The 23,708-nt window shown below is 38.5% G+C and overlaps 1 protein-coding gene across 12 annotated transcripts in view; it reads right to left on the bottom strand.

Moving 5' to 3' along the window:
* The window catches only part of ADGRV1 (adhesion G protein-coupled receptor V1), a 605,641-nt gene that overhangs the window by 79,460 nt on the left and 502,473 nt on the right, over nt 1–23,708 (bottom strand). For all 12 annotated transcript variants that reach the window (NR_003149.2, XM_017009963.3, XM_017009969.3 and 9 more), the window contains one exon: nt 12,374–12,531. Coding sequence is in view for 11 of the 12 variants with exons in the window: in XM_017009963.3 (XP_016865452.1) it covers nt 12,374–12,531 (158 nt within the window). In the remaining variant the exon portion in view is untranslated. The remainder of the gene's footprint in view (nt 1–12,373; nt 12,532–23,708) is intronic.

Below are 23,708 nucleotides of genomic sequence, written 5' to 3'. Positions count from 1 at the left end.
CTTGTGATAGTTTGCTGAGAATGATGGTTTCCAGCTTCATCCATGTCCCCACAAAGGACATGAACTCATCCTTTTTTATGTCTGCATAGTATTCCATGGTGTATATGTGCCACATTTTCTTAATCCAGTCTATCATTGTTGGACATTTGGGTTGGTTCCAAGTCTTTGCTATTGTGAATAGTGCCTCAATAAACATATGTGTGCATGTGTCTTCATAGTAGCATGATTTATAATCCTTCGGGTATATACCCAGTAATGGGATCGCTGGGTCAAATGGTATTTCTAGTTTTAGATCCTTGAGGAATCACCACACTGTCTTCCACAATGGTTGAACTAATTTACACTCCCACCAGCAGTGTAAAAGCGTTCCTATTTCTCCACATCCTCTCCAGCACCTGTTCTTTCCTGACTTTTTAATGATCGCCATTCTAACTGGCGTGAGATGGTATTTCACTGTGGTTTTGATTTGCATTTCTCTAATGACCAGTGATGATGAGCATTTTTTCATGTGCCTGTTGGCCACATAAATGTCTTCTTTTGAGAAATGTCTGTTCATATCCTTTGCCCACTTTTTGATGGGGTTGTTTGTTTTTTTCTTATAAATTTGTTTAAGTTCTTTGTAGATTCTGGATATTAGCTCTTTGTCAGATGGGTGGATTGCAAAATTTTTCTCCTATTCTGTAGGTTGGGTGATTGGCAAAATTTCTTAAGGAGGAAGCCAAGCTAGTGAGGAAATCAGGGGGGCTGGTGAAAATATCCTTAACAGTTCCAATCTGAGGTTCCAGATTGTATTTTTCAAGAACAACTAAGGGTGGAAGGAAGGGAGGTTACAATGAGGATGAAGAACAAGTAGGAGTAAGAAACCGGCAGAAGGGGACAGAAAGATGGTGTCTTCAGAGAGATGTGGAGAGGAAAATGGTGGCCTGGGAAGAGAGAAGATCATAAGAAATGGTAACCACAGTAACATGAATAGGAAAATGATGGTATAAGCAAAAAACACAGATTCGAAAATAGGAAAAATTATTTTGTAAAACAATATTTATTTCTCTCATGTTGCCCAAGCCAGAATGCAGTGGCTATTCACAAGCACACTCACAGTGCACTACAGTCTTGAACTCCTGGGCTCCAGTGATCATCTCACCTCAGCCACCTGAGTAGCTGGGACTATATGTGCATGCCACTGTACCCAGCAAAAGAAATTATTAAGCAGGGACATAGTGGCCTTGAAGTACAAAATATGTGAAGAACAAAAATATTTCTGACATCTTATTAGAGGAGTGATCTTTAGCAACTGACTGCAAGGAAAGTGATACTTAATGAGGCAGGCTATTTCAGTTATGCTAAAGCAACTGAGAGAGTACTTCTGTGAGGATCAAAGTTTGTTACCGCCTCTGGCCCAGTGATATTCACACTTCACCTTTAATATGGTATACTTTTCTCTGAAAACAAAAAACAAAAAACAAAAAACAACATATTGTAAAAACGTCACTTTCTTCTATTCACTTGAGTTTTATAATATGTAAACTGTTGAGTACAGCATTAGATCATGGGTATTGTGCTAACCATTAATTTTTTTTCTTTTTATTATTATACTTTAAGTTCTAGGGTACATGTGCACAACATGCAGGTTTGTTACATATGTATACATGTGCCATGTTGGTGTGCTGCACCCATTAACTCGTCATTTACATTAGGTATATCTCCTAATGCTATCCCTCCCCCATCCCCCCTACCCCATGACAGGCCCCAGTGTGTGATGTCCCCCTTCCTGTGTCCAAGTGTTCTCATTGTTCAATTCCCATCTATGAGTGAGAACATGCGGTGTTTGGTTTTCTGTCCTTGCGACACTTTGCTGAGAATGATGGCTAACCATTCATTTTTAAAGAAATTTATGATTCAATTGCTAATTCCCCAAATTACCTTTCCCTACTTCCTGTTTCTCTAGTACTGGTAAACCCATTTTCCTTTATTTCCGGATCTCCTCTTTAATAATGTACCAGTTGATTCATGTAATTAAAGTATGATCATACAAAGGATTGTAGACTATATATTTCCTTAAAGAACTATGTAGGCACTGAATCATAAATTAGAGGTAACTTTAAATAATGAAAATAACAACAAATAATACATGGAAAAAGTTGCAAACCAAGAATGGAAATACAGGTAAGAACCTGGGAGAGAGAGCCATAGTGTGTTACAGTATCACCATGTTGATACCAACTAAAGTGGCTCATAGACGAGGTTGAGAGAGAAACACAGTGCTTTCGTTGCCATACTTATTCCAAGATAAAACAGCCTCAAAAATTTTTTCTACTCTCTAGTCAAGTTTTATACATACTATTTCTGAATACAAATCTTAGAGAGATACATTTTAAAAAATCGGTAACTGTATTTTCATTACCCAAGAGTAGAATGGAAGACTTCGGTCATCCATTTTTTAAAAAGTGCTCTTTTAAAAATGCTCTGTAAAAAAAATTTTAAAAATTAGCTGGTCATGGTAGCACGTGTTTATAGTCCTGGCTACTCGGGAGCCCAAAGTGGGAGTATCTCTTGAGCCCAGGAGATTGAAGCTGCAGGGAGCTATGATTGTGCCACGGCACTCCATCCTGGGCAATACAGTAAGACTCTGTCTCAGAAAAAAAATAGGATCTGCCAGGAAAATTAAAATTTATTATTAATTTGGAGAACAATGGCAAGGAAATAGATAGGAAACTTACTTAGCCTGAATACAAAACTGATAAACAATGGGAATGTTTCATTAATTCTCTGGGTCAAACATGGTATGGCATGGCAGTGATATGCACATGTCAATAAGAGATGCCAGCCACATTAAGGGTTAAAGAGTGTGCAACACACCTAAACAACAACATCTTTGTTACCCTCAGATATTAGCTTTAAGTGTGTATCACATTAGCATATCTTCCACTAACACCTTACTGAAGCCTATTTATCATGGGTATCAAGATGGAAATTAGTTTCAATTCTATTCCGTCTCCTCTCTCATCACCATAAGTGATGAACTCAGCAAGCAACAGTGAATTTAGTTGTGCTATTTAAGTCAAGTTTTATCAGAAGTCATATCACTTTTAGGTGGCAGCACTAGTTAAGTATGGTTAGGACATTAAAGACTATGTGGAGAAGTAGTGAATATTTATTTTATTTTTTAAATTTTTATTTATTTATTTACTTTTGAGACAGAGTTTCACTCTTGTTGCTCAGGCTGAAGTACAATGGCATGATCTTGGCTCACTGCAACCTCTGCCTCCCGGGTTCAAGACATTTTCCTGCCTCAGCCTCCCAAGTAGCTGGGATTACAGGCGTCTGCCACCATGCCCGGCTAATTTTTGTATTTTTTGTAGAGACGGGGTTTCACACTATGTTGGCCAGGCTGGTCTCGAACTCCTGACCTCAGATGATTCACCTGCCTCGGCCTCTCAAAGTGCTGGGATTACGGGCGTGAGTCACCATGCCCAGCTCCTGATTTTTTCCTTTTATTCTATAGCCTAATGATTGTCATTAGATGATTTTATGACATGGCCAATTTTGCTTTTTAGAATGCTTCAGTGTGGAATGGGGATAGACAAGAATTGAACAATATTGGTCTCAAGACAGCTGTAATAGTCTAAGGATGAGATGATGGGAGACATCACCAAGGTGCTATGGACTGAATTGTTTCCTCCATCCCCCAAATTTGTATGTCGAAGCCCTAACTCCCAATGCAATGGTATTTGGAGATGAGGCCTTCAGGAGGTAATAATCTCATGAAGGTGGAGCCCCCATGATGGAATTAGTGTCCTTATAAGAAGAGACATGAGAGGGTTCTCTCTCATCCATGAGAGGAGAGAGCAAAATGTCCATGCAAGCCTCGCCAGGACCTGAATCAGCTGACGCCTTGATCTTGGACTTCCAGTCTCTGGAACTGTGACAAATAAATGTCTGTTGTTTAGGACACCCAGTCTATGGTATTTTGTATGGCAGCCTGAGCTAATACACCAGGCAAAATCATGAAGAAAGGGAGGGGAACATTTGAGAGATATTGATGAAGTGTAGAGAAGAAAGGAGTTACATATCTGACTGCATTCTGTACCAATTACATATTGAAAGGGTTCTTATACTAATAAAAATACTAACACATATTGAGGACTTAGTATGTTTCAGGAACTATACTAAATACTTATATGAATTAAAATTTTATCTTTCACACAACTGTACGAAATTAAATAGTGTTATTACACCTGCATTACATATGAGAATAGTGAGGAAAACTAGGGATGTTTTGGTACCATAAAGAGGGGCAATCTTTCTTGGAAATCAGAAGATTAAGTAGAAGATGAAGGAGTAATTTTCCAACCCTGATCACTTCAAGTTTTTTTTTTTTTTTTTTTTTTTGCAGGGTGTGCGGAGCTGGGTGTAAAGTCTAATACTACTTTTATGAAATTAGAGTTCTCTAAGTTTAAAATTTAATGTTTACATGTCACTATTACCAAGAAGAGTTTTGAAAACAAAATGGTAAGGGCAGAAGTATTGATGTGAACAACAATGGCAGCTCTGGAGAGCTTGTGAATCAACCTCTGATTCTAATCCCACAACTGAGCAGCCCTGTAAATGTGAAAACGTTTCTAAGCCTCTCATTTCCTTGATTTCCTTGTCTGACTAGAGGAAATCATACCTGCTTAATAGGCTTCATGTAAAAATTGAGATAAAATGTTTGATAGCAAACTAGTTGACTATAGTTAACAACATGTATTGTATATTTCAAAATAGCTAGAAGAGATAACTTGAAATGACCCCAGCACATTGAAATGATAAATATTCAAGGTGATGGACATCCCAAATACCCTGACATGATCATTACACATTCTATGTATGTTACAAAATGTCACATGTACCCCATAAATATGTACAGATATTATGTACATATATATATATATTAAACTGAGATAACATACGTGAAATTCTTAACACAGTGCCTGATGAATGGTGAATCGTAATGGGTGGCAGTGATGATGACAATAACCATGATGTGGACCACCAAGGTGCAAAGGGAGATGCACACCTGCACTTACATGCAGTGCCAGCCCTTTACTCTTTCTCTCACCCCCGTCCCATATCCATGCTCTATGCCCTCTGTCCACCTAGAAAAAAGATGTCAATTAAACATAATAGTTTAGTACTGAAATAGCCAGAGTTGGGGATTACCTTTGTCCTCATCCATCTCCAATTGAGACTGGTAAAAGGCAGCTCACTAAAGTAAGAAATCCAGGAAACCTGAGTTCTAGAAAGGCCCGGTCTGCCACAAGTGGTCAGCCCCTTTTCCTTCTTGGCTACATTGTAAATCAGGGGTGTTTCAACAGAAATTTAAACCTTCTCTCAAAAATATGATTTTCCTTTTTACTTTTCATGATGATGTGCAAAGCCTTAGGCAACTCCTGATGTTATTGTTCTAGGAGTTTTTCATGAGCAGTATCAAATCCTAAGTGTTTTCAGAAACAATAATGAAGAAAACAAACACTGAATGACTACACATCATCTTCCAGGCAGAGAGATTTCTGATATGAATCTTCGAGGATTGAGATCAAAAACCTAAGCAGAGAATGGGCATCCATATGTATGTGTTTTTAACATGTGGGATTTCCCCCACCACTATTGGCAAAATGTGGGAAGAGTGAACTGTGCTTCACAAAGATTTTTTCAAGCTTGAGTGGGAGTGTCTGTTCACGGTTGAGTGAGAAGCTGGGGTTTTCCTTAGGCCCCAAGGCATTGTTTTTTTAAAATGTTATTTTCAGAAATGGAGCTTGGAGTAGACTGCAAACAGGCATCTAACTGCCAAGGACATGTGAAACCTGTAATGTTGGTCATTCTGGATCCTATTCAAGTACATACTGTTACTGGGTAAGATCACTTTTACTTTACTTTAGCAGAAGCCCCAATTCTGCTTTAGGAAAAAAAATCATATCATGTTTTCCCATTTTTATTTATAAATCCTGAAGGTTTCTGCAAGCAGTAACATTTAAAAGGACAATGACATACTTACAAGTTTGATGTGAGAATAATGAGGATATTGAAACACCAGAATGTTTCAGCTACTGACTGCTTCAAATAAGCTAGCACCAAACTTAGTGACTTAAAATAATGTACTATTTCTCCCAATTCTGCAATCTGGGCTAGGCAGGTTTTCAACTCTGTGTGGTGTCCATTGGGGATGGAACCTACAAGAAGCCTTCTTCACTCACATGTCCATGTCTGGAATCAGAGCTGGTTTGCCTGACACAACTGGAGGCTGGCTGAGCCTGCCTTTGCACATGTCTGCTGCACATGGCCAGCGTGGGGTTTCTACCACCGTGGTGGTCTCTGGGTAATTGAACTTAGATGGTGGCTTCCAAGAGGAAGGAATCTAAAACTGCCATTCATCTTAAAGTCTAGGCCCATTATGAAAAAGCATCACTTCCATCACATTACATTGGTCTAAGCAAGTCCAAAGACAGTCCAGATGTAAAAGGATGAGAACTAGTCTCCATCCTTTGATGTGAGGAGTAGCACCTACATAAAAGGAGAAAAGTAACTGATGGCAGCCATCTTTGGAGACTGAAACACAGTTTATTTTATTTACCAGGAGCTCTTTCCTTTCCCTCTTTTTCCTTTGGATTTCATTTCCTTTGCTCTATTTGAAATTTTAAAAACGACAAGAGTAAAAAAGGCACTCAACTTTAGGATGTAAGGGATGAGCATTTACAATATTCACTATAAAAAGTTTTCAATAATTTTTATAATAATAATAAAATATTGATTTATATTACTATTGTTGTTCACTCTAAGGTTGAAGAAATGGAAGCATTCATCCTCAAATAATGCTCCCATGTAAGAGATGTGGCCATTACAGTACCAGGAGATTCTAAATACCTCAGGTTCACATTACATGACTAGCTGGATCCAGCCACATTTCCATTTTCATATATCATATTGAAACCTATGTGTGGGATTTTTAGAAGAAGGGGATTTGTAATCATCTACTTTCTTTCTTGATTGAAATGAATTTTCCTCTCCTGATCCATGAATCATTCCTCATATAAGAACTGGATCATGAATCAGAAAGGAGTCAGTAAATTCTAATGAGCCTAAAAAGAGAGACATGCTTATCGTTGCCAGAGATCAAAACCAAGCCCGAAAATTACAGGCTTTGTTTAAAATGCTGCTTGAGATATTGAAATTTAGTTCAGGTACATACCTTTATCATAACTCATTCTCACTGCACATCCACCCACTGAAGGGAAGAGGAGGCAAGTGATTCTCATTAGGAGCCACTGACCTTCAACAATTTGGTTCATGGCAGTCAAAGGGCCACAAAAAGCCGAGTTGTCCTGTCCCAGGCCATGCTCAGGGAGGGAAGGGGTTGACAGTGGGCATCTATAGCACTGAGTGTATTCCATTTATGAGGTGCTTATTCTTTGTTCTCCCCATTCCTTTGGGTTTCACTGAGTTTATTTGAACTCTGTTTGAAATTAAGGGATGTTGAGAACAAAAAAGTCACTCAAAATACACGGTGTAAGGGATGGTTACTTGTATTCATTATAACCAGTGAACAAATGTGATGCAAAGTTGCTTCTGTTGTCAGGCACATTTAATCCACAAAAAGAGTGATTAGCTTGGAGCTCAGTTCTACAGAAATCATGGAAGATTTTGAGCCTAACAAAATGTCCTGCATCTACCTGCTTCTGGACCCCAGGAGATATCAGGTCTATGGTTTTGGCCTAGTCTACCAGTACATTTGGTGTTTCTGCTTGATTTCTGTTCTATAGAGATGCCCACGGTATTTTTAACATTCTTTTGTTATACGTTATTCTTTGGCTATTCTGTATATACAGTAAGGCAGAAGGCAAAACGTGAATTTACAGTACCACCTTAACTGGATATTTTACAAGTCAGCACAAGAGAATTTTAGCAAAAAGTTTCAAAGAGAGTGTCAAGTGCTCCGTGGTAGAGTAAATAGAAGAAATACCTAATGTAAATGATGAGTTGATGGGTGCAGCAAACCAACATGGCACACATATACCTATGTAACAAACCTGCACGTTGTGCACATGTACCCTAGAACTTAAAGTATAATTAAAAATAAAAAAAGAATTATCTGGAAAAGAAAAAAAAAGAAATTTTGAATTTGAGTTAAGTGGAGCATATTCAAGTAGAGGTGAGTTATAGTATGTTGAATATAAAAACACAAAAGATCAGGTTGAGGGCAAAGCTGAACATGTAGTTTTGGGAATTATAGAGGTAAAGCTTTAAAAAATATTTCTTATAAAAATAGTCCTAATAATAATAACTTTTGAGGAATATTTACAAACAGATCAGAGAATTAAGTCATTTAATTTCTACTTTGATAATATTACAGTTTCTCTTCTTAATGCTATCTTTAGCTTGGGTATCCATTTTTACAGTTATATAATTTTGTGGTACATTGATGATTATTAATTTATTCATTTAATTAATAAACATTAATTATGCTCCTGCTATCCACTAAGCACTCTGCAAGGCCCTGGGGATACAGAGATGAATACTAAATGGTTCCTGCCCTCAAGGAATTAATAATTTATTAAGGAAATCCACCAACCACACACACCAAAACAAGTGACCACTCCATTCTAAGATAAGTGCTACAATGACTAAAGGGACAAATACTTTAAAGGCATAAAGAAGGGAATGAGTAATTCTTATTTGGTGTGATTCCATAAAGAGGCAATTCCTAAGGCTTCACAAAAGGGGGAGAATATTGAAAGTTTCTAGAATTTCTGTAAAGAAGTAAAGTGATGTCCAGGAGAATTAACTTGTGATTGTCAAGCACATCACTGTTGTTTAGATTCTGAAGTTATTTTGGAAAGCTTTGTAGAGCTAATAAAGAATATGGGAAGGTGATAAGCCCCTTGCATCTGTCTCTCACTCATCTACATTTTCCCATATCACTTATTGAGCACGTGGGTTTTACCAACTAATGAGGAGGAGCTCAAAGTAAAGATTTCTTTACATAAGCAAAGATGGCAATATCAGGAAAATTTAGGAAAAAGTAAATAGATTGGCATGTCAGAATGCAGGATAATAGTAACTAACTTGGGAATGGAAAGATGGTCCTGGGTCAGACCGTGGAAACTCTTGTAAGCTAAAGGGACTGGACTTTTTTTTGGGGCAATGAGAGAAACCTTGACTGAAATGCTGGAGAATGAGAAAATCCACTTTATATTTTTAAAATGTAGACATCTGAGATAATGAAATGGAGAAGAAAAAGAGTAGAACCAGAGATACCAATCAGAAAACTGCTGTGGAAGTCCAAGTATAATGACTATTAGAATAAATTGCCATGGGAATAGGGGAATTAGAAATATCACACTTTTTAAATTTGTAACACAACAATAGGGCAATGCTTCTATTCACATTTTATTGCAAGAGAGGGTTCCCTCATTAAGATACAACTGTGCTGGAACTTTTGCCTTATATTCAATGCTTGAGGGCTATCTTTTTCTGATAATCAGGGTACTGTTTTATCTACTATATCAGTAATGAAGCATATTCAAGAGGTGCAGGGGTGATTTAGGCATTCAAAGAATTAAGTCACTATGTTAGGCCCCTATGTTAGCATTATTGAAAACATGCAAACATTGGCACTTTTACATTATATATAAAACAATAAATCTTGTCACTTAGAGGAAAAAACAAACCACCATTCTCCCCCCAAAAGAATGTACATTTTAATAAGATGAATCCCAAGTTGATTAAAAGCATAGCTTCTGAAATGGGACCTAATTAAACTAAAGAGCTCCTGCACAGCAAAAGAAATTATCAACACAGTAAAAAGGCAACCTACAGAATGGGAGAAAATTTTTGCAAACTATGCGCTCACAATGGTCTAATATCCAGAACCTATGAGGAACCTAAACAAATGAACAGGCAAAAACCAAACAAGCCCATTAAAAAGTGGGCAAAATACATGAACAGATACTTTTCAAAAGAAGACATATGTGCCATGAAGAAGCCAACAAGCATATGAAAATGCCCAACATTGCTAATCATTAGAGAAATGCAAATCAAAACCACAATGAGATACCACTTCACACCAGTCAGAATGGCTATCATTAAAAAGTTAAAAAATAACAGATGCTGGCAAGGCTGTAGCGAAAAGGGAATGCTTGCTTATACACTACTGGTAGGAATGTAAATTAGTTCAGCCATTGTGAAATGCAGTTTGGCTGTCTCTCAAAGAACTCAAAGCAGAATTACTACTTGACTCAGGAATCCCATTGCTGGGTATGTACCCAAAGGAATAGAAATTGTTCTACCATGAAGACACATGCACACATATGTTAATCACAGCACTATTCACAATAGCAAAGACATGAAATCAACCTAAATACCCATCAGTGGTAGACTGGATAAAGAAAATGTGGTACATATACACCATGGAATATTATGCAGTCATAAAAAACCGAGATCATCTCCTTTGCAGCAACACAGATGGAGCTGGAGGCTGTTATCCTAAGTGAACTAACAGAGGAAGAGAAAACCAAATACCACATGTTCTCACTAATAAGTGGGAGTAAATATTGAGTACATATAGACACAAAGACGGGAATAAGAGACACTGGGGCCTACTTGAGGGTAGAGGGAAAGAGGAGGGTGAGGACTTAAAAACTACCTATTGGATACTGTGCTTATTACCTGGGTGGTGAAATAATCTGTACACCAAACCCCCATGAGGTGACATGCAATTTATCTACATAATAAACATGCACATATACCTCTCAACCTAAAATAAATGTAAAAAGAAAGAAGTTACATTTTTAAAAAGTAATTTAAAAAATAAAGAGTATTAAAACTGAAAAAACAAGCATAGCTTCTAGATAACTTCTGTGTCCCGTGAAAAAGTAGAATTTATACATTGAATATTTTTTATTAAAGGAGTTAAGATTAATTAATTAACCTTAAACAATATTCCTCGGCTGGGCGTGGTGGCTCACGCCTGTCATCCTAGCACTTTGGGAGGCTGAAGCAGGTGGATCGCCTGAGCTCAGGAGTTCAAGACCAGCCTGGGCAATGTGGTGAAACCCCATCTCCACTGAAAATACAAAAGTTGGCCAGGCATGGTGGCACATGAATGTAGTCCCAGCTACTCAAGAGGCTGAGGAAGGAGAATTGCTTGAATCTTATAGGCAGAGGCTGCCGTGAGCCAAGATCATGCCACTGCACTCCAAGCTGGGTGACAGAGTAAGACCCTGTCTCAGAAAAAAAAGAAAATTCTGCCAACACAATGATTGCATGCTAAATGAGAAAGAATTAGAAAAGAGATGGCTAGATACTGCTATGCTACAAACTATCCCACAAAGTAATACAAACGAGTGTCTTTTCTTTATACTACAAGGAAAATCCTTTTGCATATTAACTGATCAAGTTCAGGAACTAGAACTGCATTACATTAGAGTGACGCCCTGTAGCTACTGAGCCCCTAAAAATGTATTAGACACTATTCTAGAGACCTTATATATGCTACTTGCTTAAACTTTGACAAGCACTTAAAACGTGAGGAATTCCTCTAAGACTGTCATTCATTTGGCTTTAGACTTGTAAAACTTTAGAAAAAAGAAGACTTCTGTTCCTCATTGGCCCAAGAGGGATCCTCTACTCCCAGCTCTTAAGCTGCTCCCTAATATCCCAGTCACTCACATAACATTTTACAGAGCATTTTCTGTATGTAGGTGTGTGGCTATTGCTTCTAGTTAAGAAAATTCCTGAGGGACTCTAGTCTAAAAACAATAATAAAAAGAATCAGATCATAAAAACCTCTGTTAGGTATGATTCAAAGGGAAAAAATGAGCTGTAGTGAAAGCCAATTTGAACTAGAAAGGCTTGCACTCTTAAGTAACCAGACATGTGTAGCCACTCATGTAGCTGTCTGATTACATGTTTTTAAACATCTGTCAGCACAACCAGAGCTCTGCATGCACACTCATGAGCACTGCGGAGGTTTGTTAAACTGTGCAGAAGTCTCAGAATCGGAGAGAAATGAACAGATTTCACAGGTAGAACACAAGTTATTATTGCTTCACTTAATGAAAGCTTGGGAAGTGGCTCCCAAGGCTGCGACTCATTTACTTGGATATCAATATCTTAAGGACAAAATTGGAATGAACAATAAAACCTACAGAGCCCTGAAGAAAGGGAGACATCAGAGGTACCAAGAAGCAGGAGAAACTGGAGAGCTATAGCTTAACTTGTGGCTTCAGAGCTGAAAGATGAGCCGAACTTCCCTCTTTTTGATAAAAAAAATTCAGTGACATTTTCCCACCATTAAAGCGTTTCCATCTCCAAAGTACAAATATAGTTCCTTTCAAACCTGCAGCATTTGTCCTTCCTCTGAAGACATCATCATATGCTTTCCACTGTGGCTTCACCTGGTAGGCATGGATGAACACCACGAACACCACCACGAGGCACGTCAAAGGAACAAGAGCTGCAGTGAACAAAGCAGCATAGACGTTTGGAATAAAACACCTGGAAGAGAAATGAGAAGAAGTAACTCAGACACTTTCAGCGCAAATATTTCTAAATGCAGAATGTATCACATCACTACTTTATACTAGCTCTTTGTATCCAGATGCTGGCAACATCAGATTTTTGGTTTGCCAAACTGAAGTTTTGTTTGAGTACAACATCTGATTAAATCTAGCCCACTGCTTCACACAGTAGGTTCCCTGGAACATTCACCTCTTGTAAAGTTCAGAAAACTTCAAAAAAGCTTATGGCCAAATAAATTTGAGAGATGCACACTATATACATCTCATAGAAGTTAAGGGTACATATCTGTTCATTTTAAAAAGGCCACAGAAAGTCATGGAGTCAAGAGATCTGGGCTCTGAAATCAGGCTATTAAATCCAGCACCACATCTTAAAAAAAAAGAGTCACTTTAGATATACTTTTTAACTTCTCTGAACTGTCTCTCATCTTTAAAATAAGGATTATAGGCGGGGTGCAGTGGTTCATGCCTGTAATCCCAGCACTTTGGGAGGCCGAGGCAGGCAGATCCCCTGAGATCAGGAGTTCGAGACTAGCCTGGCCAACATGGTGAAGCCCCGTCTCTACTAAAAATACAAAAAAATTAGCTGAGTGTGGTGGCAGGTGCCTGTAGTCCCAGCTACTTGGGAGGCTGAGGAGGGAGAATTGCTTGAAACCGGGAGGCAGAGGTTGCAATGATCCAAGATCATGCCACTGCACTCCAGCCCAGGTGACAGAGGGAGACTCCATCTCAAAAAAAAATTAATAAAATAAAAATAAATAAATAAAATAAGGATTATAATAGCATCTGCAACAAAAGTTAGTTGTCAAGATTAACCGAAATAATTCACATACAGCATTTAGTAAATTTTGTTTAACCCATCATTTCTAGACTTCAACGAAAATTAAACCCTTCTCCTTTTTCACACACACATGCACACACAGATACACAGACATATGGTCATGCTATAGGACTAATGTGCCCTGGAACACACTTTGGGAACCACTGATCTAGTCATGCCCAGCTTATGTTTCAAATTAGTTGGTGGATTCCAGGGAGAGTACCAGGTTCCTTTCTATTTCCTTCCTCTATTTAACCTCAAAAGAAGAAGAATGCCATCAGGATTTATGGCCATGGGGCTGATGACAAAGTCACTGTGTCCTATCAATGACTGATCATGTCTGCAGGGACCTCTCTTGACCTCTCTGGCCCCTCAGGGTAAAAGGTCACAGAGACCATTGTTGCTCCTGCATAGGAGGAGGCCAAGCTACCTGCTCTCTCCCCTCCACCCCCTCTCCCTTCTCTCCCTTTCTATTTCCTTCCCTCTCTCTCCATTTGGAGTTTTCTTCCTGGGAGGAGTTTTCTTCCTAACAGAGGAAATAAAGGATGAGGGATCATATCACCATTAGGGAGCTAATAAGAAAGCGTGAGTTTGCCTTGCTTTTCCAGCTCCAGAATCCTTTGGAAACCACAAGAGAGATGGTATTGTTTAAAGGCAAATCTGAGGATTCCCAGGGCTCCACTCTTGTCATCTCCACAATCTTGTTTTTTGAATGACTGACAGTTTTCTTATTCCTTAACTATACATTTCCCCAAGAGCCATCTATTCTCTCTTGAAAATGAAGATAATTTTTCCATTTAGAAGCTATACTGCACAATTATATTTATTATTACCAGAGTTTAGATAGGATAGTGGGGTCCAAGGCAAACTTAGATTATTTATTTATTTTGGTAATACTGAAATTATCGGCAAAATGGTTTTAGAGATATAACTAGAAATTTTTACTTATGGAACATAACATCCACTTGCGCTTTACATAAAATCTTGCATGAAAATCTCAAATGGAGGAACGTTAAACAGGTTCTCAATATCTAAAACTGCTTCTGAAGTATTCTTATAAGGGATATACCTCCAAGTTACAAGACTATACTTTCAATTACAAGAAACCTTAATAGTAAGAAGTGCCTCTTTTGAAGTATTTTCCCCACCTCCTCTATTTTTCCAAAATATAATATCTACAAACCTAGATTATGATACAGCCATAAACACTAGACTTTGAAGACAACTCAGGGGGAATCACGCATAGCCTGTTTAGAAGGAATCCAAAATATAAGTAACCAGGGAAACACTCATTCTTCTGATTTGGGAAAATAGTGTGTTAACTTTTTTTTAATAACTTCAACCTTTATTTTAGGTTCTGGGAGTCCATGTGCAAGTTTGTTACATGAGTATATTGCATGATGCTAAGGTTTGGGACATGAATGACCCCATCACCCAGATAGTGAACAAAATATCCAAGTTAGTTTTGTTATCCTTGCCCCCCTCCATCCCTTTCCCATCTATCAGTTTCCAGTGACTGTTGCCATCTTTACGTCCAAGAGTACCCAATGCTTAGCTTCCACTTATAAGTGAAAACACGTGGTATTTGGTTTTTTGTTCCTATGTTAATTTGCCTAGAATAATGGCCTCCATCCATGCTGTCGCAAAGGACATGATTTCATTTTTTTTTTTTTTTGTGGCTACATTGTATTCTATGGTTTATATGTACCACATTTTCTCTATCCAACCCAGCATTGTTGGGCACCTGGGTTGATTTCATGTCTTTGCTATTGTGAATAGTGCTGTGATGAACATATAAGTACTTGTGTCTTTTTTGATAGAACGATTTATTTTCATTTGGGTACATATCCAGTAATGGGATTGCTGGGACAAAGAGCTGTGTTCTAAGTTCGCTGAGAAATCTCCAAACTGCTTTTGACAGGGTCTGAAGTAATTTATATTCACACCAATAGTGCACATGCATTCACTTTTCTCCACCACCTTGCCAATATCTGTTGTTTTTTGGCTTTTTAATAATGACCATTCTGACAGGTGTGAAATGGTGTTTCATTGTGGTTTTGATTTGCATTTCCCTGATGATTGATGATGTAGAGCATTTTATCATATGTTTGTTGGCTGCTTGTAATTCTTCTTTTGAGAAGTATCTGTTCATGTTTTTTGTCTACATTTTGGTGGAGTTATTTGTTTTTTGCTTGTTCAATTGTATACGTTCCTCATACATTCTGGATATTAGACCTTTGTCAGATGTATGGTTTGTGAATATTTTCTCCCATTTTGAAAGTTGTCTGTTTACTCTGTTGATACTTGTCAATTTTTGTTTTTGTTGCAATTGCTTTTGGGGTCATAGTTATGAAATCTCCATGGACATTGTGCCAGGGCCTATGTCCAGAATGGTATTTCCTAGGTTTTCTTTGGGGAGTTTTATAGTTGTAGGTTATACAGTTAAGTCTTTAATCCATCCTGAGTTAATTTTTGTATGTGGTGTAAGGAACGGTCCAATTTCAATCTTTTCCATATGGCTAGCCAGTTATCCCAGCACCATTTATTGAATAGAGAGTCCTTTCCCTGTCATTTGTTCTTGTCAGCTTTGCAGAAGATCAGATGTTTGTAGGTGTGTAGCCTTTTTTTTCGGTTTTCTAACTTATTCTATTGGTCTATGTGTCTGTTTTTGTATCAGTACCATGCTGTTTTGGTTACTATAGCCTTTTAGTATATTTTAAAGCCAGGTAATGTGATGCCTCTGGCTTCGTTCTTTTTGCTTAGGATTTCTTTGGCTATTCAGGCTATTTTTTTTTTTTTGTTTCATATGAATTTTAGAATAGCTTTTTTCTAATTCTATGAAAAATGATGTTGGTAGTTTGATAGGAATAGCATTGACTCTGTAGATTGCTTTGGGTAGTATGGCCATTTGAACAATATTGATTCCTCTAATCCACTAGCTGGAATGCTTTTCCAATTGTTTGTGTCATGTATTATTTCTTTCAGCAGTGTTTTGTAGTTCTCCTTGTAGAGATGTTTCTTGTCCTTGGCCAGAGGTATTCTTAGGTATTTTTTTTTTGTGAGTGCCTCAATTTTATATTAAAAAGAAATATATTATTAAAGGCCTAACTCAGATACTAGTTCTTTTTTTTTTTTGAGATGGAGTCCCGCTCTGTCATCCAGGCTCAAGTGCAGTGGTGCGATCTCGGCTCACTGCAAGTTCCGCCTCCTGGGTTCACACCATTCTCCTGCCTCAGCCTCCTGAGTAGCTGGGACTACAGATGCCCACCACCATGCCCAGCTAATTTTTTTGTTTTTTGTTTTTTTTTTTAAGTAGAGATGGGGTTTCACCATGTTAGCCAGGATGGTCTTGATCTCCTGATCTTGTGATCCACCTGCCCTGGCCTCCCAAAGTGCTGGGTTTATAGGCGTGAGCCACTGCACCTGGCCACTCAGATACTATTTCTAATTAACATAATCTGCTTATTTTATTTCTCACGTAAACAAGGCATATTTCAAGAGATATTTCTACACATACTCTGTATCTGCAAAGGGATATAAAAATGATAAATTTCTTGGCTTTTAGAATTTAATTTTGATAGCATGAAGCCTGAATCATTACCTGAACACTCATCTGTATGCAATAAGACCTGATTCTTCCACATGAAGGGCACATGATTAAATAAAATGGGCAAACATTAATGGTCTTAATATTGAACACACTCCTGCACTAAAAACAGTGGTCATGCTGGTTACTCATTCTTATGCATATTGGCTTCAAATGGTCACTTATTTTTTTCATGTGAATTATGAATTCCATTGACAGCAAGTAGCCTAAAGATGCTTTTACAAATTCAGATACTGATGAAGAAACACAGGTAGGTTTCACTGCCTTATTTGTGTCTTGAAAAATGTCATCACAATTCAATTTGGGACAGCAAAATAGGGAAAATTACTGACTCAATTATTGAATTACTCTAGGAATATAAAGATTTTGTACAGAGTGCTATAAGAGCAGACTTTGAAAGGTGACCTCCAGCTGATGACACATCATTTTGACTAAAAAATTAAACAAGCAATGTGAACCTTTGGGAGGTTGGAAGTAACCAGACATATCCACTGCTCCACTCAGGAAGAGAAGGGAACTCTCTAAGCGCTAATGATCTTAAAAATCTCCTTTGCGGCCAGGCGCGGTGGCTCACGCCTGTAATCCCAGCACTTTGGGAGGCTGAGGTGGGCAGATCACCTGAGGTCGGGAGTTCAAGACCAGCCTGAACAACATGGAGAAACCCCTTCTCTACTAAAAATACAAAATTAGCTGGGTGTGGTGGCACATGCTTTTAATCCCAGCTACTCGGAAGGCTAAGGCAGGAGAATCACACGAACCCAGAGGCAGAGGTTGTGGTGAGCTGAGATCACGCCATTGCACTCCAGCCTGGGCAACAAGAGCGAGACTCCGTCTCAAAAAAAAAAAAAAAAAAATCTCCTTTGCAATTCTCCCTACTTATAGGATGACTTGACATTGATGGCTCATCCTTTCAGAAAAGGGGCAGGAAAATGACCCAATCCTGAAGCCATCCCCTTTTCTCCTTTTATTCAGAGCTCCACAAGTCATGACTTCTCAGAAGTAATAGGCCCCTGAGAGTACCTACTCCATGTTCATCCTCCACTTGGTCAATGTTGGGCCAGAATGTTAAGGAGGAGGGCTTGCTCCCACAGCATGCCTGTTCTCGTTGGCAGCTCCTCTTGCCTTCTTCTCTATCTACAGCATTGCAGAACTGCAGGGCCCATCCCCTTGCTCACTGCTGTCCAGCCAGGACTCCATCCCAATCTCCTTCAAACAAAAACTGCCTGCCTTGTGTACTACCTCTTAGGGTTCAGGGAGTCAGACACTGTTGTGAAACACTTAACATTTGCAAAGGAGGCAGGGATATCAGGGTAACCCATGGTGCAGATAACAAATGGGCTGCCACTCCCTGATGGTCCATGGAGAGGAGCTGGGACCAGCTATGATTCCACATCCCCAAATTATGTCTCATATACTTAACACCTTCTTGTTTTAAATTACCTTTTAACTCTTCTTTTAAAGCTGATAGGTATTATTTTCTGAGCAATACTGTCTGAATAAAATTTCTACTGCTGTATAATAAAATTTCTCCCAAATACTTAAAAATGTTCAAGATAAATGAACTATATTCTACCCTTGAGAGAAAAAAAAAGTAGCCTCGCCAACCAGAATTTCCTCCAGTCCACCCAAATTAGAGGTACAGTATATTCAGGTAGTTAGTTTGAGGATTAGAGCACATAAAGTGATCAGGGGTGTTAGGAAACTGTGAATATCATGTTAGAGTAGCTTTTGAAATAAGGCTGGGAATGAATTCTTGGAAAAACTGAATGTAACATAAGAAATAAGCAGAAAGAAGGCAATGCCCGCACCAGGGCTGTGGAAGTAGCTGATTAACGTGCAGCTATTGCTTCAAGAACACATCTGGCAGATATGAGAAGAGAAAATGAGACAACGGCCATGTGGATTTGCTTCCTTAAAAAGGTGAGGAGAATGTGTTCTCTGTAATTGCAGCTCAACCAGCTTCAAAGAACTTCAGGAATCTCTCTCTCTTCGGGTGTTGAATAGTCTTTTGGGGTCTTACAACCACATAACTTTTACTGTTCCTTTTTAAACTTTCATGGATAGATTTTCTTATTAGAACCTACAGACAATTCTAATTCACTTCAAAGTCTTGTCAGGACTTCATCCTTTTCCCTATATTTCGCCAGATGAAACAAGTAGATGCTGTTTCATTACCTTCAGTTTTTCCTCCTCTGAGTCTACCCTCGGAGCATTCCCAATGCTTTAACTCACTTTCTAATTTAGTAAGATTATTATCTCTCCTCGGTAATGCTTTATACTTACTGAAATGTTTTCACTTGCGTTACCCAATTTGATTTAAAAAAATTTTATGTGGGCGGCATGGAGTATTTCAACTTCTTTATTCCTGTCTGAAATATTCGTAAGAAGGAACTCAGAGGCAGAGGGGTCCAGGAGAGACATGAACTCCGCTTACAACCACTAAAAATACTGGAATGGATGCTGGGAACTCCCTGTGCATGAGATTGTGATTTGAGTCCATTTACATTATATTTTAAAGAACAAGTTGACCCTGGCAAACTGGAAAATCTGAAGGAATCCAGGCAGCTGGACAGCCAGGTTACATCTGGGTTACATAGGTAATGAAAAGGACCCAGGTAGTGAAAGGACAATAAATGTTTCCAAGGTCTTCTTTGTGAGTACTTCTAAGACAAGGATAATAGTCATGATTCACAGGCTCATGTGCCAGCCTCCCTCAGAGGTCTCCTGAGTATTTCTTCAATGATAGCCTCTACATTAAAAGATACATTTGTCACTTCAACTTTTTCTTCTCTACATGGAAATTCATAGTGATGACCTACTTTATATGGGGAGTACATGGGATGATCTAGCAATCAAGAATTGTTCACCATTTATCACAAACTGGTTTCTAATTTGTATAGAGAGTACAGTATATCTGCTTATTGGTTTTATTAGTTGAAGAATACAGATGTTATTAATTCTGTAGATGCTTATCCTTTATAAAGTCTAAGACACTATTTATGATTTCAATATTCCTTTCCTTGTATACTCAATTTACATTCTTTCCAAAGATAACGCTCTTATTTAACATACATTTTTATTCGCCTGTGAATTTATGCATGCATGCATTGTGTGTGTACGTATTTCCTGGTCAATCCAAAATGGCTGGAAAGACTTAGAGAAACACTTTAAGCACATTAATTTTTTTAAAGGAATAAATTTATGAAAACATCAGAGAAAAGGAGAAATACAGCTTGGGTTTAAACAGTTGTAAGGTAGGAAAATATATTCCTCTTCCTGTCTTTCTGTTGTAGAGCATACAGCAATTTTCATATCCAGGGGAATCAACTACATTCTAAAATGCATTTTTGTTTAAGTTTATACTTTGAACAACATCAAGATTAAACTACAGATAATCTCTACAAAGTGAAATGGAACATTAAGAAAGCAAAGAGAGGGAGAGGGGAACAGTTTTTCCTAAACTGGACTGGCTGGATAATTAAGACTAATTAAGTATTACTACTACCACTACTACTACTGCTAGCAATCATTTACTGTGTGCAGGGTATGAAACCCAATCCTCACATGCATTATCCCACTGAAACATAACTAGAACCCATTATTGTTATGTATATATGGGGAAAATAACACCTAAATTATAAAACGTCAAATTGCTAGGACTATAAACAGGCTCACTGGCCTTCACTGTACCTCTACAATTTGACAATTATTTCCACAATTCCAGTATAGACATATTCAAGTTAGTGGTAAATATGCCAGTGTTCTTTTGAGGACAGGGACTGTAACATTTTCTTTACATTTCTCCCAGGGCTTTGCACAATCAGATCCTTAAGAAATGCTTATTGATTTAACTGGTTCTTAGCAGTTTTTGAAAACCTCTCACTTAAAAATATGGCATAGAAAATCCTGTATTTCAAGTGTCCTCAGCTCAATCATAATCCAATCAACATTTAAATATCAATCACATACCAGCTACAGTGCTGGGCATGGAAGGGCATATAAAGATGCCTAAGGCATGGTCACTCCTATCAGGTAGAATATATTTACAATAAATGCACAGCACTTCTGAATCTAGTCTTCTACTGGAATTTGTGTTGTTCTTCCATCAGCATCACCACCATCACCACCACCACCACCACCACCACCACCAGCTCCCCTATGGAGCTCCTGAATCTCATCTGCAGTTTCACAAGTTTCCCAGGTGTTTCCTATGTGTATTAATCCTGTTTAGAAAACAAAGTGCACCTCACTGCCAGCCTCATTTAATTTTACATAAACATGTTCTTTGAGGCTGAAGCAAATTTGACTGATTTTCAATGTGAAATGAAAACATAAAAACTGTTCTTGGAGTTATTTCTAAACAGAACTAACATCAGAATCATCTGAATCATCAGAATCTTCTATTTTGGAAAAATCTGATTCATCAAATGAATCTTCCGCCAACTGTTCCAAAATGATGTTAACATCATGCGTAGGAATGCTTCATGTTCTAGGATTTGACAATTTAAACGATAGGGAATTACTATATATTGTAAATGAAAATACCACTACTAAAAATAGAATGCTATGAATAGAATTATGTCTTTTGTTTCCAAAATCCATATACTAGACAGATATGAAAATAATAAAAGCGAGATATTTTGTGGCGAAGTTATCTTGGGGTAAACACTGTAGCCACGAGCACCGCTGCCAGGCATTCTTGGAGCAAACAGGAAAAGGGTTTAAAGTTTGAGAAAAACAGTTGGTGCAGTGGCTCATGCCTATAATCTCAGCACTTTGGGAGGCCGAGGTGGGCAGATCGCTTGAGCTCAGGAGTTCAAGACCAGCCTGAGCAACATGGAGAAACTCCATCTCTACAAAAAATACAAAAATTAGCCAGGTGTGGTGGCACCATGCCTGTGTTCCCAGTTTCTCGGAGGGTGAAGTGGGAGGATCGCTTGAGCCCAGGAGGTGGAGGTTGCAGTGAGCCAAGATCGTGCCACTGCACTCCAGCCTGGGTAACAGAGTGAAACTCTGCCTCAAAAAAAAAAAAAAAAAAAAAAAGTTTGAGAAACACTCTTCTAGCACACTCTTTAGACATAAAGTAGCTTAACCTAATTAACTAGTTAATCTTTACATCTCTTTGGTAGGGAGCCAAGGGGCTATGGAACTCCAAAAAGAATCAGACAGAGATTTCACAGCACATGGTGGTCACAACAGCCTGAAGAACCAGCAAGAAAGAAAAACAGCTGAAAGCAAAAGGGATAGAAAAACAGAGATCTGTGATATTTAGAAGCCTGGGCTGTTCAGATGCAATGTTCAGAAGCAATCTGAATGTTGCAGAAAAGGAGAGCTAGCAGTAAAGTGACAGAGGATACCGCAGATCTGCAGACTGGCCAAACGAGATGGGAAGGAAAGTGCTGGGGTGCAGTGGGTGTGCTACGACGTTAATATTCAGTTCTGCTGCATCTAAACAGCTGTTGAAGGAATAAGGTTTCTGTGTGAGTGCAACAGACATATTCCACAGTGACCTGTGCTACTCAAAGTTTCTGGAAAGGGGGACCCCTGTGCTACATCCTCCACCCCCACTCTCCCAGCCACAGATGACTAGTTCTGAGATGAGCACCTGCCTCAGAGACAACGATTCTTGCTTGCCCCTGACTTATAATTTGGTGACTCTGCTCTAAAAGCTGAGCTGAGCCAATCTGTCTTTTGCCCTTGAGAATTTGACAGGGACAGTTGCACATTATTGGTGGACACTAGAGTTGATGTCAGGGCAAATGGCCATATTGGAGCAAACAAACAAATCTTCAGAATAAATGAACAGAGAAAGGGGAAGAGGAAGCAAGAGAAAAGGGGAGAGAAGAAGAAGAGGGTTCAGATGCAAGTAACAACACACAAATGAGAGACTCTGTGGTCTCTAAAAGAAGAACAATGTGGCTCTGGTTTCTAGCATGCTAGTTCTAGGTTTCCTGAGGTCCAACTGTACCACTTTTGAATATCCACGGGAATGCCTGTGGTATACTGCTATACTCCCACCCCCCTTCAACTTGAAATAACTCTTGTGGATTTACCTGCAACTACAATGACCATAGTTAAAACATAGCTAGTGAGCAAGTGATAGAGAGAAAAAGGGAGTGAACACACAACTATTCTTTAAACAACATTGCTCTTGAAGATGCACAGGATCACTATCATGTCTACCTGTTTTAGAGCACACTCCACACCATGGTGAGAATTGCTAACTAACTCTACATATTGACAAATCCCTCAAAAAATGCCAAAGGACCAAGGAACAAGAATTGGGCTCATTTTTAAGTGCTTAAAATGTACTTATATGCTTATATTGCTTGAAAAGATTGAGGAAAGAAAAATGGACACATTACAGCAATATTATTTCATCTAATTCGAAAAGAGCAGGTATTTGATTTCATTTGATATTAAACTAAGATTTTGAAGTAGTCAGATATACTGGCTACATTAAAATACCACCTTATATTGTAAATAATTAGCTCTTGGTTAATAAGGAAGAATTGCCCACATCCCTGGCTCATTAAGGAGTTAAATATATTTACATATAATTCCAAAGGCAAATAATGGACTCCAACTATTAGTAGGTTAAAGTCTTTTTCCAAGAAACTCAAGTCTGAGCAGCCTGTTCCCTAAGCAACTTGATAAAACTGCTGAAATAAATCCACTGGACACCGCTTGCCAACTTCATTCCAGGTAGGTTCCAGTGAATCAAGCC

The sequence above is a fragment of the Homo sapiens genome, chromosome 5 (assembly GCF_000001405.40).
Source record: "Homo sapiens chromosome 5, GRCh38.p14 Primary Assembly".
Taxonomy (NCBI): Eukaryota; Metazoa; Chordata; class Mammalia; order Primates; family Hominidae; genus Homo; species Homo sapiens.
The sequence above is the reverse complement of the archived record's forward strand: the minus strand, read 5'-3'. Positions and strand labels throughout refer to the sequence as shown.